The sequence below is a fragment of the Homo sapiens genome, chromosome 2 (assembly GCF_000001405.40).
Source record: "Homo sapiens chromosome 2, GRCh38.p14 Primary Assembly".
NCBI lineage: Eukaryota > Metazoa > Chordata > Mammalia > Primates > Hominidae > Homo > Homo sapiens.
Genome location: NC_000002.12, coordinates 108,770,805 through 108,783,217, shown reverse-complemented (window position 1 = coordinate 108,783,217; position 12,413 = coordinate 108,770,805). Strand labels below are relative to the sequence as shown.

Here is a 12,413-nt window from a genome sequence, read left to right as displayed (position 1 = left end):
AGACGCACACCACCACACCTGGCTAATTTTTGTATTTTTTTGTCCAGACGAGATTTTTGCCATGTTACCCAGGCTGGTCTCAAATTCCGGGGCTCAAGCAATCTGCCTGCCTTGGCCTCCTAAAGTGCTGGAATTACAGGTATGAGTCATTGTGCCCAGCCTCAATTATTTTAGGTTGAAAGTTTTAGGCAGGAGCAGGGAATGGGTAGTGATGCCATGTGATTCCATGTGTGGAAAACCTAAAGAAATCTTTAACAAAACTACAGGATGAGGTCAAGGAAAAACACTCAAATTTCCCATTAGTGTGGTGCACTCTTCAAGACCTCAATTGTGGTATGTACTTAATAATACCTACTTGGCAAACAAAATCTGGAATTACTCTGTGAAAAATGGAATTCTTGAAACCAAAGCCTTTCTCTCCAGTGCATAGTGCTCTGAAGTTCTCAGCAGTCCGAGGAACAATGTTTGAAAATAATTCCATAGTTATCCGCCCTAGAGGTTCACCGTCCGCACAAACATCAAAAAACACCACAGGATTGGTCTCCTTTGATAATTCTGCTGCCAGTGATACATGTCCTTTCTGGAGTTTCATTAAATTCTGCTGACATTCTTCAAATGTTTTCTTGAAACAATCAGCTACTTCTTTAGTTTTAAATCTCACTGCAAGCTGTTCTACTTTTGCTTCTCCATCTGGCAGGGAGGGAAAGGGGAAGCAGTGACCTTAGTATTAAAATAACTGTTATAAGTTGTTTTGTTTGTTATAGATTTTAGAAAAGTCCAAAAAATGAAAAGTAGCATTTGAATGTAAAAACTCACCAGCATAATCTGAGGCAGTCCAAACTAAAGCATTATTTGAAACATTTAAGGGCTTTAATTCCATTGTTTTAGTAATAACGTGGTTTGCACACACTTTAAAAACCTGGTCTCTTCTCATTAGGATCCGGTAATAATTCTTCATTGTATGCCAAAGAATCTTTATATCTCCAACACCGCGCTCCTTCCACTGACTGACATCCCGATCCCATCTATAAAGTTTGGCTCTCTCTTTAAACAAAATTTCTTCATCTTCTTCTCCAGATTTTACTTCTACCTATAATAGGAGATGAAATTCTCTATAAGCTGCTGCTTATAATAAATTCCATGACAAATTTCAAAGATCCAAATTCTTTTAAGGCATTTTCTTTGTGATGACAAAGAGAATTTGTTAATGTGATAACTGGTTATATATCTTAGGGCTAGGAATATATCTGATTTGGCTGAGGGAGTAAAGACCTGATTTATCATTAAACATTTTCTTTTATATAATATTCATTTTCCCTTTGGAAATTAAATGCTTTTCTTTATAGGACAGAGAGGTTTCAAAAGTGTTTGCTACTGAAGAGAAATATTAGCTACTGACTGAGGTTAAAAAATGACAAAGTAATTTTCCTAGAACAATGTTCTTGTCCAAAAAACATACAAGGTTAACATTTATTGAAAGGACTTTAGTGAGTATGAGGTTAATTTTTCCCCAGAATCATGTTATAAAAACAAACATGATATTCTAGAAACATAAGAAAAAATTATTTCTTACCAATAATTACATATAGAATTTACAAACCAATATTTATGTAAAAACTGTAAAAAGATAATTTATACTTAAAGGCTAGACATCTAATAAATAGAGCTTCCATTTCAAACAGTAAACATTCTTAAATGCAAACAATTATACCCTGACAGATCAAGCCAGGGTAAAACTTAAAAATGAAAAATAAGTTATTAGTAAAAGGTTAATTCCTTAACATTTACCTCTGGTAGTGACACTATTGGTTCAAAATGGATATCTTCATTATGAACTACTTCTTCATCACTACCATCTTCATCTTCACCAACTTTACCGGCTGACTGGGTTCCGACTGACTGTGTTCCAAACACAGCTGCTCCAGTATTTGCCCATTGGAAATTTTTATCTGATGAATAAATCAGGATATTTAAACACTAGTATCTATTTTTTACATTTTTCATCCCCCTCTTATTTTATCAATCCCTCTAATTCCTGATGATGTAATATGTACATCAATTTTAAATGTTTAAAATTATATTATTCTAGTAAATTCCTCACGCCTGTAATCCCAGCACTTTGGGAGGCCGAGGTCACCTGAGGTCAGGGGTTCGAGACCAGCCTGGCCAACATGGTGAAACCCCATCTCTACTAATAATACAAAAATTAGGCTGGGCGCAGTGGCTCACGCCTGTAATCCCAGCACTTTGTGAGGCCGAGGTGAGCGCATCTCCTGAGGTCAGGAGTTCAAGACCAGCCTGACCAACATGGAGAAACCCCGTCTCTACTAAAAATACAAAATTAACCAGGCATGGTGGCATATGCCTGTAATCCCAGCTACTCGGGAGGCTGGGGCAGGAGAATCGCTTGAACCCAGGAGGCGGAGGTTGCGGTGAGCCAAGATGGCACCATTGCACTCCAGCCTGGGCAACAAGAGTGAAACTCCGTCTCAAAAAAAAAAAGAAAGAAAGAAAGAAAAGAAAAGCCGGGAGTGGTGGTATGCGCCTGTGGTCCCAGCTACTTGAGAGGCTGAGGCAGAAGAATCGCTTCAACCTGGGGGGCAGAAGTTGCAGTGAGCTGAGATTGCCCCACTGCACTCCAGCCTGGGCAACAGAGCAAGATTCTGTCTTTAAAAAAAAAAAAAAAAGTTAGCAGTGTGTGGTCATGGGTGACTGATCCCAGCTACTCAGGAGGCTGGGGCAGGAGAATCACTTTAACTTGAGAGGCAGAGGTTGCAGTGATCAGATACCGCCCCACTGCACTCCAGCCTGGACGACAGAGCAAGACTCTGTCTTTAAAAAAAAAAAAAAAAAAAAAATTAGCCGGGCGTGGTGGCGGGTGCCTGTAATCCCAGCTACTCAGGAAGCTAAGGCAGGAGAATCGCTTGAACTTGGGAGGCGGAGGTTGCAATGAGCAGAGATCGTGCCATTGTACTCCAGCCTGGGTGACAGAGCAAGACTCTGTCACCAAAAAAAAAAAGGAAAAAAAGGAAAAAAAAAAAAGCTAGTAAATTCAACTCATACTGTTGAGTACAGAGTACATTTATTATTGTTATGCTTAGCGATACAAAGATAAGACTGTCACTGCCTTGGATAAACTTCCTAATACTAAACTACACAAGGACTTCCAAGTAAAGAAGTAGGTTCTTTTTACCTACTTCTAAAATTTCAAGTACCCACCTTGAAATTTTGTAAACTTAGCTCAGCAGGCCAAACCTGCTACTTCCAAATTAGCCACAATGGCCTAAACATGTTTATAATTTCTGCATCTCTACTTCTTCCTGAAGAAGCTAATGCTGGAATGTAGATTTCTTGGTTGGGCTGGTGGAAAGCAGCCTTGGGAGAATCTCACTGACTTCAACTGCCCAAAGGGTATTAGATTGTTAAGCATCCTACTTCTGTATGGGGGAACAATGATGGTCTCACTCTCGCATACCTGCAAGAAGGTGAAAACTAGAAACTTCTCCATCCCATACCTCAATTTAGATGACCAAGTCCCCACTATCTTAGAGGAAAGAAACACCTCTCAACTTTTTATCACTTGCTGAATCACTGTCTTAAAGAACCCTACACCTTCTGCTAAAAACTCTCATGAAAAAGAAAAAATGTCACAGGATACATAACTCAGTACCTTAAAGAACACAATAAAAAATCAACTCTCTTTCAGACAGATTTAATGGAGGGGAAAAAAAAATGTTTTTAAAGAGGAGAGAGGGCCGGGTGTGGTGGCTCATGCCTGTAATCCCAGCACTTTAGGAGGCCGAGGCGGGCTGGTCACTTGAGGTCAGGAGTTCGAGACAAGCCTGGCCAACATGGCGAAACCCCATCTCTACTAAAAATACTAAAAGAATTAGCGGGGTGTTGCAGTGCATGCCTGTAATCCCAGCTACTCAGGAGGCTGAGGCAGGAGATCACTTGAACCTAGCAAGCAGAGGTTGCAGTAAACTGAGATCTGCGCCACTGCACTCCAGCCTGGGCAACAGAATGATCGTCTCAAAAAAAAGAGACAGAAAGACAAAAATTCTTAAGGACATATTGCAAAGGAATGATCTGAGAACAAAAGCCACAGGTTGCATGGGAACTTCCTGAGAACAGTAACCACTGATCTGGATGAGATACCAACTTGGGGGCTCAAAAATAACTGTTCAGGGCCAGGTGCAGTGGCTCATGCCTACAATCCCAGCACTGTGCAAGGCCAAGGTGGCAGGACTGCTTGAGCCCAGGAGTTTGAGACCAGCCTGGGTAACATAGTGAGACCCCTGTCTCTACAAAAAATGTAAAAATTAGCTAGGCATGGTGGTACACACCTGTGGTCCCAGCTACTTGGGAAGCTGAGGTGGAAGGATTGCTTTAGAGCCCAGGAGGTCAAGGCAGCAGTGAGCTGTGTTCATGCCACTGCACTCCAGCCTGGGCAACAGAGTGACATCCTGTCTCAAAAACAAAAACAAAAACAAAATTGTTCAGCAACTTTTTTGCCAAAAGCAAAAATTTAAAAAATAACCCCAAGGGACATGTGGCAGAAGAATTCAAAATTATTTCAAAATAGTGGTTCTCTACCCTGGGAACACATTAGAATCACCCACTTGTAAAAGTATTTGTAATATATCAATATCTGGGTCTCACAGGTCATAACTGGGCCTACAGTAATGTTACTGTAAGTGAATAATTAATTTGGCAAGCTTTGAGACATTAGAGAAAATAAGATTGAAACTCTAAATTATCTGGAAATTTACAAAAGTATAAAGATTCCCTATGAAAACCTGTGGATACAAACAAAACTGACTGCAAGGCATTTACAGTTTCAAATACTATTTTTAACAAGCACAATCTAAATTAACTAAAGTAAGCATTCAATACACAAGAGCTTGGTGAATAAAAATGACAAGTGGTAGTGAGAAGTGAATGTTAATGCATAAGGCTTATTTAGGCATGGTTTCCTCCCGATATGTGAGTACTGCCTACTTTTCACTTTAGTGTCCAATATTGACATAATACTTCAAAGAGGCTACACTGAGTAACAAGGAGCCTATCTATTTTTTTGGGATTTTTTTTGTGTAAGTGTACCTACTATATTGCTTATTTACTGACACATTACCCTTTGATTTCAGGCTATTTCATAAATTAAAAATAAACGACATCAGTGAAGCCATGAATTCCAACATAACATCACATCTGAAGGTAATTTCTAAAAGTTTTATGTGTTTCTAGGTGGCAGGAGCTGTGAAAAAAGTGCAAATATAGAGGAGGAAAGAACAGAATTCTGAACTGCATTAATCATTTAAGCACATATCCTCAATAAAATGTATTCCATAAATCAAACACCTTGTACTAGAACTATTTAAGGGGTGCTATAAAGAGCAATGTGAAAGATATTACAAGAATGAAAAAATATAATGGATGGCCTTACACTAGTAAACCGGATACAATCAGGGAAATGGATTCTTTTCTAGAAATGTTACCAAAATGGATTAAAAATAGAAACTCCACTAAAGAAGATGGGCAAGCACACCAATTATAAACTTAGCACAATAAATTAGCACAACCCTAATACTGAAATCCAAAGATAGTACAAAAAAGAAAACTACAAAATCATATCCTTAAAAAGTATAAACTCACAAAACCTGAAATATTAACAAATCACATATGAAAGTATAGTTAAAAGAGTAAGGATCAAAGTCAGAGTCATTCCAAAGCTCAAAAATGGTTCTGCATTTCAGAATGGGGAGGACTATCAGCATGGCTTATATAAAATTAAGAGAAAATTCTTAAGATTATATTGACGTCAAAAAATAAAGTGTAGAAGCCCTTCATTATTAAAACACTAAAACAAACTGGGGGGTAAGGGAAGAAACTTCTAACTTAGTTATATACTGCAACAAAAAACTAGTTTTTCAGTTGTGCTTGATTCTGTAACAATGTCATTAAAAGTCTCTCCTCTTGATCTTACCTTTAGAACCAAAAGCAAAATCTCCAGAATTACTGGAAGCCAAGTCTGCAAATGAGAGCCCTGTGCTACTTCCAAATCCAAATGAAACTATCTTGCTTTCCCCTGGCAAAAGAAAAAAAGAACAATTTACTATTTAATTTGTGCTGAATATCAAAGCTTTACCCCAGGACCTAGAGAGAACAGTAGAGACTTGTATACTCTGGGATGAGGGGAGTTATTTAAATTCTGTCAAGTTACAAAATACATCCAATTCTGAGCTACTTCAGTATTACTAATTTTACAGGTGCTATTCACAAAGAATACTACAATACTACACCAAATGCATGCCAAAAATTATTTTTTATAAATGAGAAGGAGAGCTATCTATATTAAGCCAGATATTAAACTACAGTTTCTGCTCTATGGAGCCTACTATACTCTAAAGCAAGCATTCAGTCAAAGGCAGGGTTTTAGGAAACATCTGTATAAAAACTTTTTGTGTTCTGTACTATAAATAAGCTCATAAAAACCAAATGTCTCATTTACACTTCGTCATAAGGACTTTTGCGGTCTTCTCTTAATTCTGCTAATGTGAAGCTGCATGATCTCTGAAAGCCCCATGCCTTATTTTCCTCATATGAAAATGTATGAGGTTTTAGGTATGAAGTCGTCTTCCTCTTTTAGCACATTAAGACTCTCAAATGCCTATAAATGTAATATTTGTGACACTGAAGGCTATTTTTAAAAAGTAGGTAAGGTACACAAAGCAATACAACTTAAACTTCCCACTTCCATCCCCAAAATCGAAATGAAAAAGAGAGAAAGCAATACCAAATATGTTACTGTAACTGAATAATTAATTTAACAAGCTTTAAAAGTATTAGAGAAAATAAGAAACATTTAAGTAGTACCATAAAACTTTCTTAAATCCGTAATATTTCTACAATTCCTTCATAATTAAAACACTTTGAATATGCTTGAGTGATAATATAATTCAAACAATATTTAAATGAAAACACTATCACAAAGGAAATTACATGTAACAACACTATTGTCTTTTAAACTCAGGAAAATAGGTCAGAATCATAATGCTTTGTATTCCCTAATAACCACAACTCTATCAATAAAAACATGTTTATTTGTTGGCAACACAGTATAATTTTTCTGGTTATTATTACTACTACTACTAAGATGCCCCTTTATACATATCAAAATGTGTTTTAAAGGGAGTTTTCAGGATCAGCCTTTAAAAGTCTATCTTCTCAAATATAAGGTGTCCCTTATGTAACACATGATAAACATATATCAAGATTTACCTTGGCTTGTAGAATCTGTATCAATTTCCTTTCTAGTTGACAAATCTACAGGTTTGTCCATAGTTTCAGAGGAAACAGATGGTGAACTAATGGATTTGGTAATAGAATCAGGTTCTTCAGATTTACAGAAAGAAGGTACCATCACTTCAGTCCCACCTGTATATACACTGTCAGTTGTGCTAGTTATTTCTTCTGTCTGAGATTTCTGCAAAGAGGAAGTCACAAAATACTATGCCACTTAAATGCTAATTTACAAAACAGATTATATAATCTATTTCAAAGGGAATTGAGAACTTGGGCTTCTGGAGAAGATAGAATAAACACACTTCACCCTATCTCTCCTCAAAACCTATAACTAAATGCCTACACTGAAACATACAGAGCACCTCTAAGAAGCCTTAGAAAGGTGGATAAAAACAGGAAGAATAAGGATCTTGGGACCAGAGAGATAATCTGGAGGTTAAGATCCACACGGAGTTTTTCTGCCACTCCTGTAACCCAGCCTGGGTGCTACAGCAGCCCAAAAAAACTGGAACTGCCAATGGCACAATGTCAGCAAAAAAAGAGACTCTACTTTCTTCTCAAGTGCACAGAAGACATTCACCAAGACAGACCTCACAACATTTAAGAGAACTGAAATTATTCAAAATATTTTCATAAACCATAAAGGAATTAAACTAGAAATCAATAAGAGAATGATATACAGAAGGAAAATCACCAAATATTTGGAAATGGCACAGTAGCATCTAACGTACAGATCAAAAAGAACGTCTCAAGGAAAATAAAATATTTCAAACTGCATGAAAGAGAAAATATCACATATTAAAACTTGCCAGTTGCAGCTAGGAAGTGCTTAGAAGGAAACTTATAGAATTAAATACTTATACTAGAAATAAAGAATGATCTTAAATTCATAATTTAAGCTTTTTTTAAATTAAGAAACTAGGCCGGGCCCAGTGGCTCATGCCTGCAATCCCAGCACTTTGGGAGGCCAAGTCAGGAGGAACACTTGAAGTCAGGAGTTCAAGACCAGCCTTACCAACATGGTGAAACCCCGTCTCTACTAAAAATACAAAAATTAGCCACGCCTATAATCGCAGATACTCGGGTGGCTGAGACATGAGAATTGCTTGAACCCAGGAGGCAGAGGTTGCAGTGAGCTGAGATCATGCCACTGCACTCCAGCCTGGGAGACAGAGCGAGACTGTCTCAAAAGCCAAAAAAAAAAAAAAGAAACTAGAAAAAAAGTGCAAAATCCAAGGCAAGAAGGAAATAATAAAGAAGAGAAATCAATAGTGTTTTTTAAAACTTAAGAAAACTCCAGACGTGGTTTCATTGGTAAAAACTGCTCAACATTTAAAGGGAAAATGGCACCAAGTCAACAACCAAGTCTCTTCCAGAAAACAGCAATACAGAAAATACTTCTCAATTCATTTTATGATACCAGTATTACCATTTTTTTAAGAGGCGGTCTCACTATGTTGTTGTCCAGGCTGGAGAGCAGTGGCTATACACAGGCACAATCATAGCGCACTGCAGCCTGGAACTCCTGGACTCCCGAGCAATCCTCCTACTCAGCCTCCCAAATAGCTGGGACTACACACACATATCACTGAGCCCAACCAGCATTACTCTTACATGGAAACCAAAGACAGTATCAGAAAACTACTAGTATCCTGATAAATATAAACCCAAAAATTTATAACAAGATTTATGCAAATTGAATGCAACCACATAACAAAATTGTACCATGACCAAGTGAGGTTTACGCTGGAATGCAAAGTTAGTTTTCTGAACATTTGAAAATGCAATGTCATTCACAGATTTAATAAAAATCACGATTGTATCAATAGTTAAAAATTTTTGACAAAAAGGTAAAAACATTAGGTGATGATGTGTCAATGTAGATTCATCAACTGTAACAAATATACAATCTTTTCTTACCATAGAAATTTTAGAATTCACTTGTGTACATCCATAAAGAATTCCTGGCCAGGCGCGGTGGCTCACGCCTGTAATCCCAGCACTTTGGGAGGCCAAGGTGGGTGGATCACGAGGTCAAGAGATTGAGACCATCCTGGTCAACATGGTGAAACCCTGTCTCTACTAAAAAAATACAAAAATTAGCTGGGCGTGGTGGCGCATGCCTGTAGTCCCAGCTGCTTGGGAGGCTGAGGCAGGAGAATCACTTGAACCTGGGAGGCAGAGGTTGCAGCGAGCAGAGATCGCCCCACTGCACTCCAGCCTGGCGACAGAGCGAAACTCCATCCCCCCCCAAAAAAAAAAAAAATTCCTGGAGGGGTTTTGACTGGTGTTGTGTTAAATCTATAGATCAATTTCGGAAAATTGATATTCTAGTTATTTTGAGTTTTCCAATCCATAAACAGTATATACCTTTCCATTAATTTAGATTTTTTATTTCATCAGTGTTTTGTAGCTTTTGGCATATAGCCCCTGTGTAGAACAAAATTAAAATTCCTTCTTTCCTGGCCATAGCTGATTAGTCTAGACCCTTAAACCCATTTAGTAGCCACAACCCATTATTATTATTTGGTAAGAACATTCTAGGTCAGGCGCATCACCTGAGGTCCGGAGTTCGAGACCAGCCTGGCCCAACATGGCGAAATCCCGTCTCTACTAAAAATACAAAAATTAGCCAGGCGTGGTGGCAGGCACCTGTAATCCCAACTACTCGGGAGGCTGAGGAAGGAGATTCACTTGAACCTGGGAGATGAAGGCTGCATTGAGCCACGAGCATGCCATTGCACTCCAGCCTGGGCAACAAGAGTAAAATTCTGTCTCAAAAATAAATAAATAAGAACATTCTAAAGTTTACTGCATCAACAAAGGCAATGGAACTAGAAGGAAAATTTATTAGAGATGTTCTTACTTGAGCTTCCTGAACTTTTTGAAGCTCTGATTGAAAGTCCTCCCCATTTCCATTGTCTTCATCAGTATCACTACAGACTCCACAAAAAAATGTAGGTGGAAGTTTTAACGTATCTGCTTTTGCCTTCTCTTCAACTGTTGGTTTCTTTTCCCAAACAATAATACATTCTTTCTCATTATCTGAAAAATCAGTACAACACAAGCAAACGAAATTAGATGAAGCCCAACTTCTCTACAACAATGGTAGTCATCAACATAATCCACAGACCCAGGTAACAAGACCTGTACATACTAATGAAAAACAAGGACCACCCAGAAAAGAATATTTTCACCTGTTAGTTTTAAGTTTTTTAAATCACCATGGGCATCGTAAAATCGATAATTATAGAAATTATCAGACTAGGTTATTCCTTCTAAATAGAAGACTTGTTAAAAGCATTATAAATGTCCTTTACACTTAACATACCTGCTGTATTTTCTTCCAAGGGTCTACATTTTTCTGAGCCATCCAAATATAGTTTTCCATTAAGTTTCTTGACAGCTGTTTCGAAATCTTCATCTTAAAATACAATTGATTAAAAGAATTTCTAGTTAATTTTGGGGGGTTTTCCTTGCTTAGGGACTACCTCCAACTTCACCATTTCTCACTCTCCACATCTGAATTGCAGCCAATTTTATATCTTTAATACCTCTCTTTCTGCTAGAGCTTTAGCTCAGCCTCTCATCTTGTTTGAGCTGCTCTCATTTTAGTTCATCTTCCGATCTCCTTGTCCCATAACCCAATACTATATACCACTGTCCAACTGATTCTATTGAGACTTTTATTTAACTGTCCAGCTTAAAAACTGTTACTGCATACAAAGTTTTCCACTGGAACCTTGTCCGCCTTCTCTCTCTCTTCCACATCTTTAAGACTCCAGCAAAATTATAATTATTTTAAATCCCCTCAAAACACGTGCCTGGCACATTAGCCATCCAAAAAATGCTTGCTTAATGATTGCAGTCCTTTTGATCACTATATCCATTGACCATTTACACATACATTTAGGGTAAATATCTACCTGCAAGGATATTAGTGATAAGTTCTAAGAGGCAGGCTTAAAATAATTAAACCATACTCCCAATTTTACTAAGATTAGCGGGAACAGAGGATTTTTGAAATAACAAAAGTTTTACCATCCTCCTCTTCTTCACTAACATAATCTGGTCTATTCTTGTAGCAGAAGAAAGTTGGAGGAAGTTTAAGTTTGGTTGCAAGGGCTTTCTGCTCAGCGGTTGGAGTTAGTTCATATACAATGAGAACATCATCATCTGAGGGAGAATCTTCAGGTTTTTTCTTCTCTTTTGCTGTAACACCAGTCAAAAAAATTGACAAAGATAAGGTATTAAGTATTGACGTTAATACTCTAACTGAAAATAAAAACCATGGAACCTATCTATAGGTTAAAACAGCATACTGATAAAAAACACATATACTTTGATGCAGAGATGTATGATAATCATGAACTAGAATTAGCATCCTGATTTAGTGTTCTACCAAAAACCCTAAGTGAACACAGAATCTATTTAAAACCAAAGAAAACAAAAAAAAATTTGTGTTTACTTAATAGTCATTGAAAAGAATTACTATAAATTTCTAGAATTTATAAAGGTTAAAAATTTTAAAGTGTTGCCTAACTATACTTAGCATACAATAGTTTACCAAAATATCCATGCATTTGCAGCAATTGAAAAAAATCTTAAAACATAGGCAAGTATTACTATACATATGAAACTAATCCAAAGCCAACTGTGATTAGTTTCTGTAAGGAAAGTTAACAATTGCCAAGAATGGAAGGTGACTAGAGTTGCATCTAGTTTGCCTATGTTCAAGCATGATACTAAGTAAAATTAAATAACAACTGTGACTCTATAGGTAGCTAACACTATAAAATCTAAGACCATTCATATGGCTAAAAACAACCCATCCCCAGCCACCATCAATGCAAAGGGCAAAAAATTAGAAAGAGAAAAAACTTCTATATGCAACCTGTTCTGAACTTCTGGCTAAAGGAGTTTAATAAAGCAAGCCAGTCATGAAGCATGCCATGTATACCAACTAGTGATAGGGAAACATTCTGAGAGCTATGGTGTCCAATATGGTAGCCTAGCCACATTCTATTAAAACCTCACAAGGTGGCTAGTCCAAATCAAGACGTGCTAACAGTAAGTGTAAACACACACACTGGATTTTGAAGACTTGG

General features: G+C 37.4%; 1 protein-coding gene across 10 annotated transcripts in view; it reads right to left on the bottom strand.

The window, feature by feature from the left end:
* The window catches only part of RANBP2 (RAN binding protein 2), a 1,122,820-nt gene that overhangs the window by 1,059,084 nt on the left and 51,323 nt on the right, over nt 1–12,413 (bottom strand). For 6 of the 10 annotated variants that reach the window (XM_005264002.4, NM_001415873.1, XM_011511576.4 and 3 more), the window contains 8 exons: nt 11,347–11,517; nt 10,637–10,729; nt 10,172–10,350; nt 7,282–7,510; nt 5,987–6,088; nt 1,789–1,949; nt 817–1,090; nt 356–690 (listed from right to left, as the gene is read on the bottom strand). In XM_005264002.4, coding sequence (XP_005264059.1) covers nt 356–690; nt 817–1,090; nt 1,789–1,949; nt 5,987–6,088; nt 7,282–7,510; nt 10,172–10,350; nt 10,637–10,729; nt 11,347–11,517 — 1,544 coding nt within the window. The remainder of the gene's footprint in view (nt 1–355; nt 691–816; nt 1,091–1,788; nt 1,950–5,986; nt 6,089–7,281; nt 7,511–10,171; nt 10,351–10,636; nt 10,730–11,346; nt 11,518–12,413) is intronic. The other 4 variants (NM_001415871.1, NM_006267.5, NM_001415872.1 and 1 more) reach the window with 2 other exon arrangements.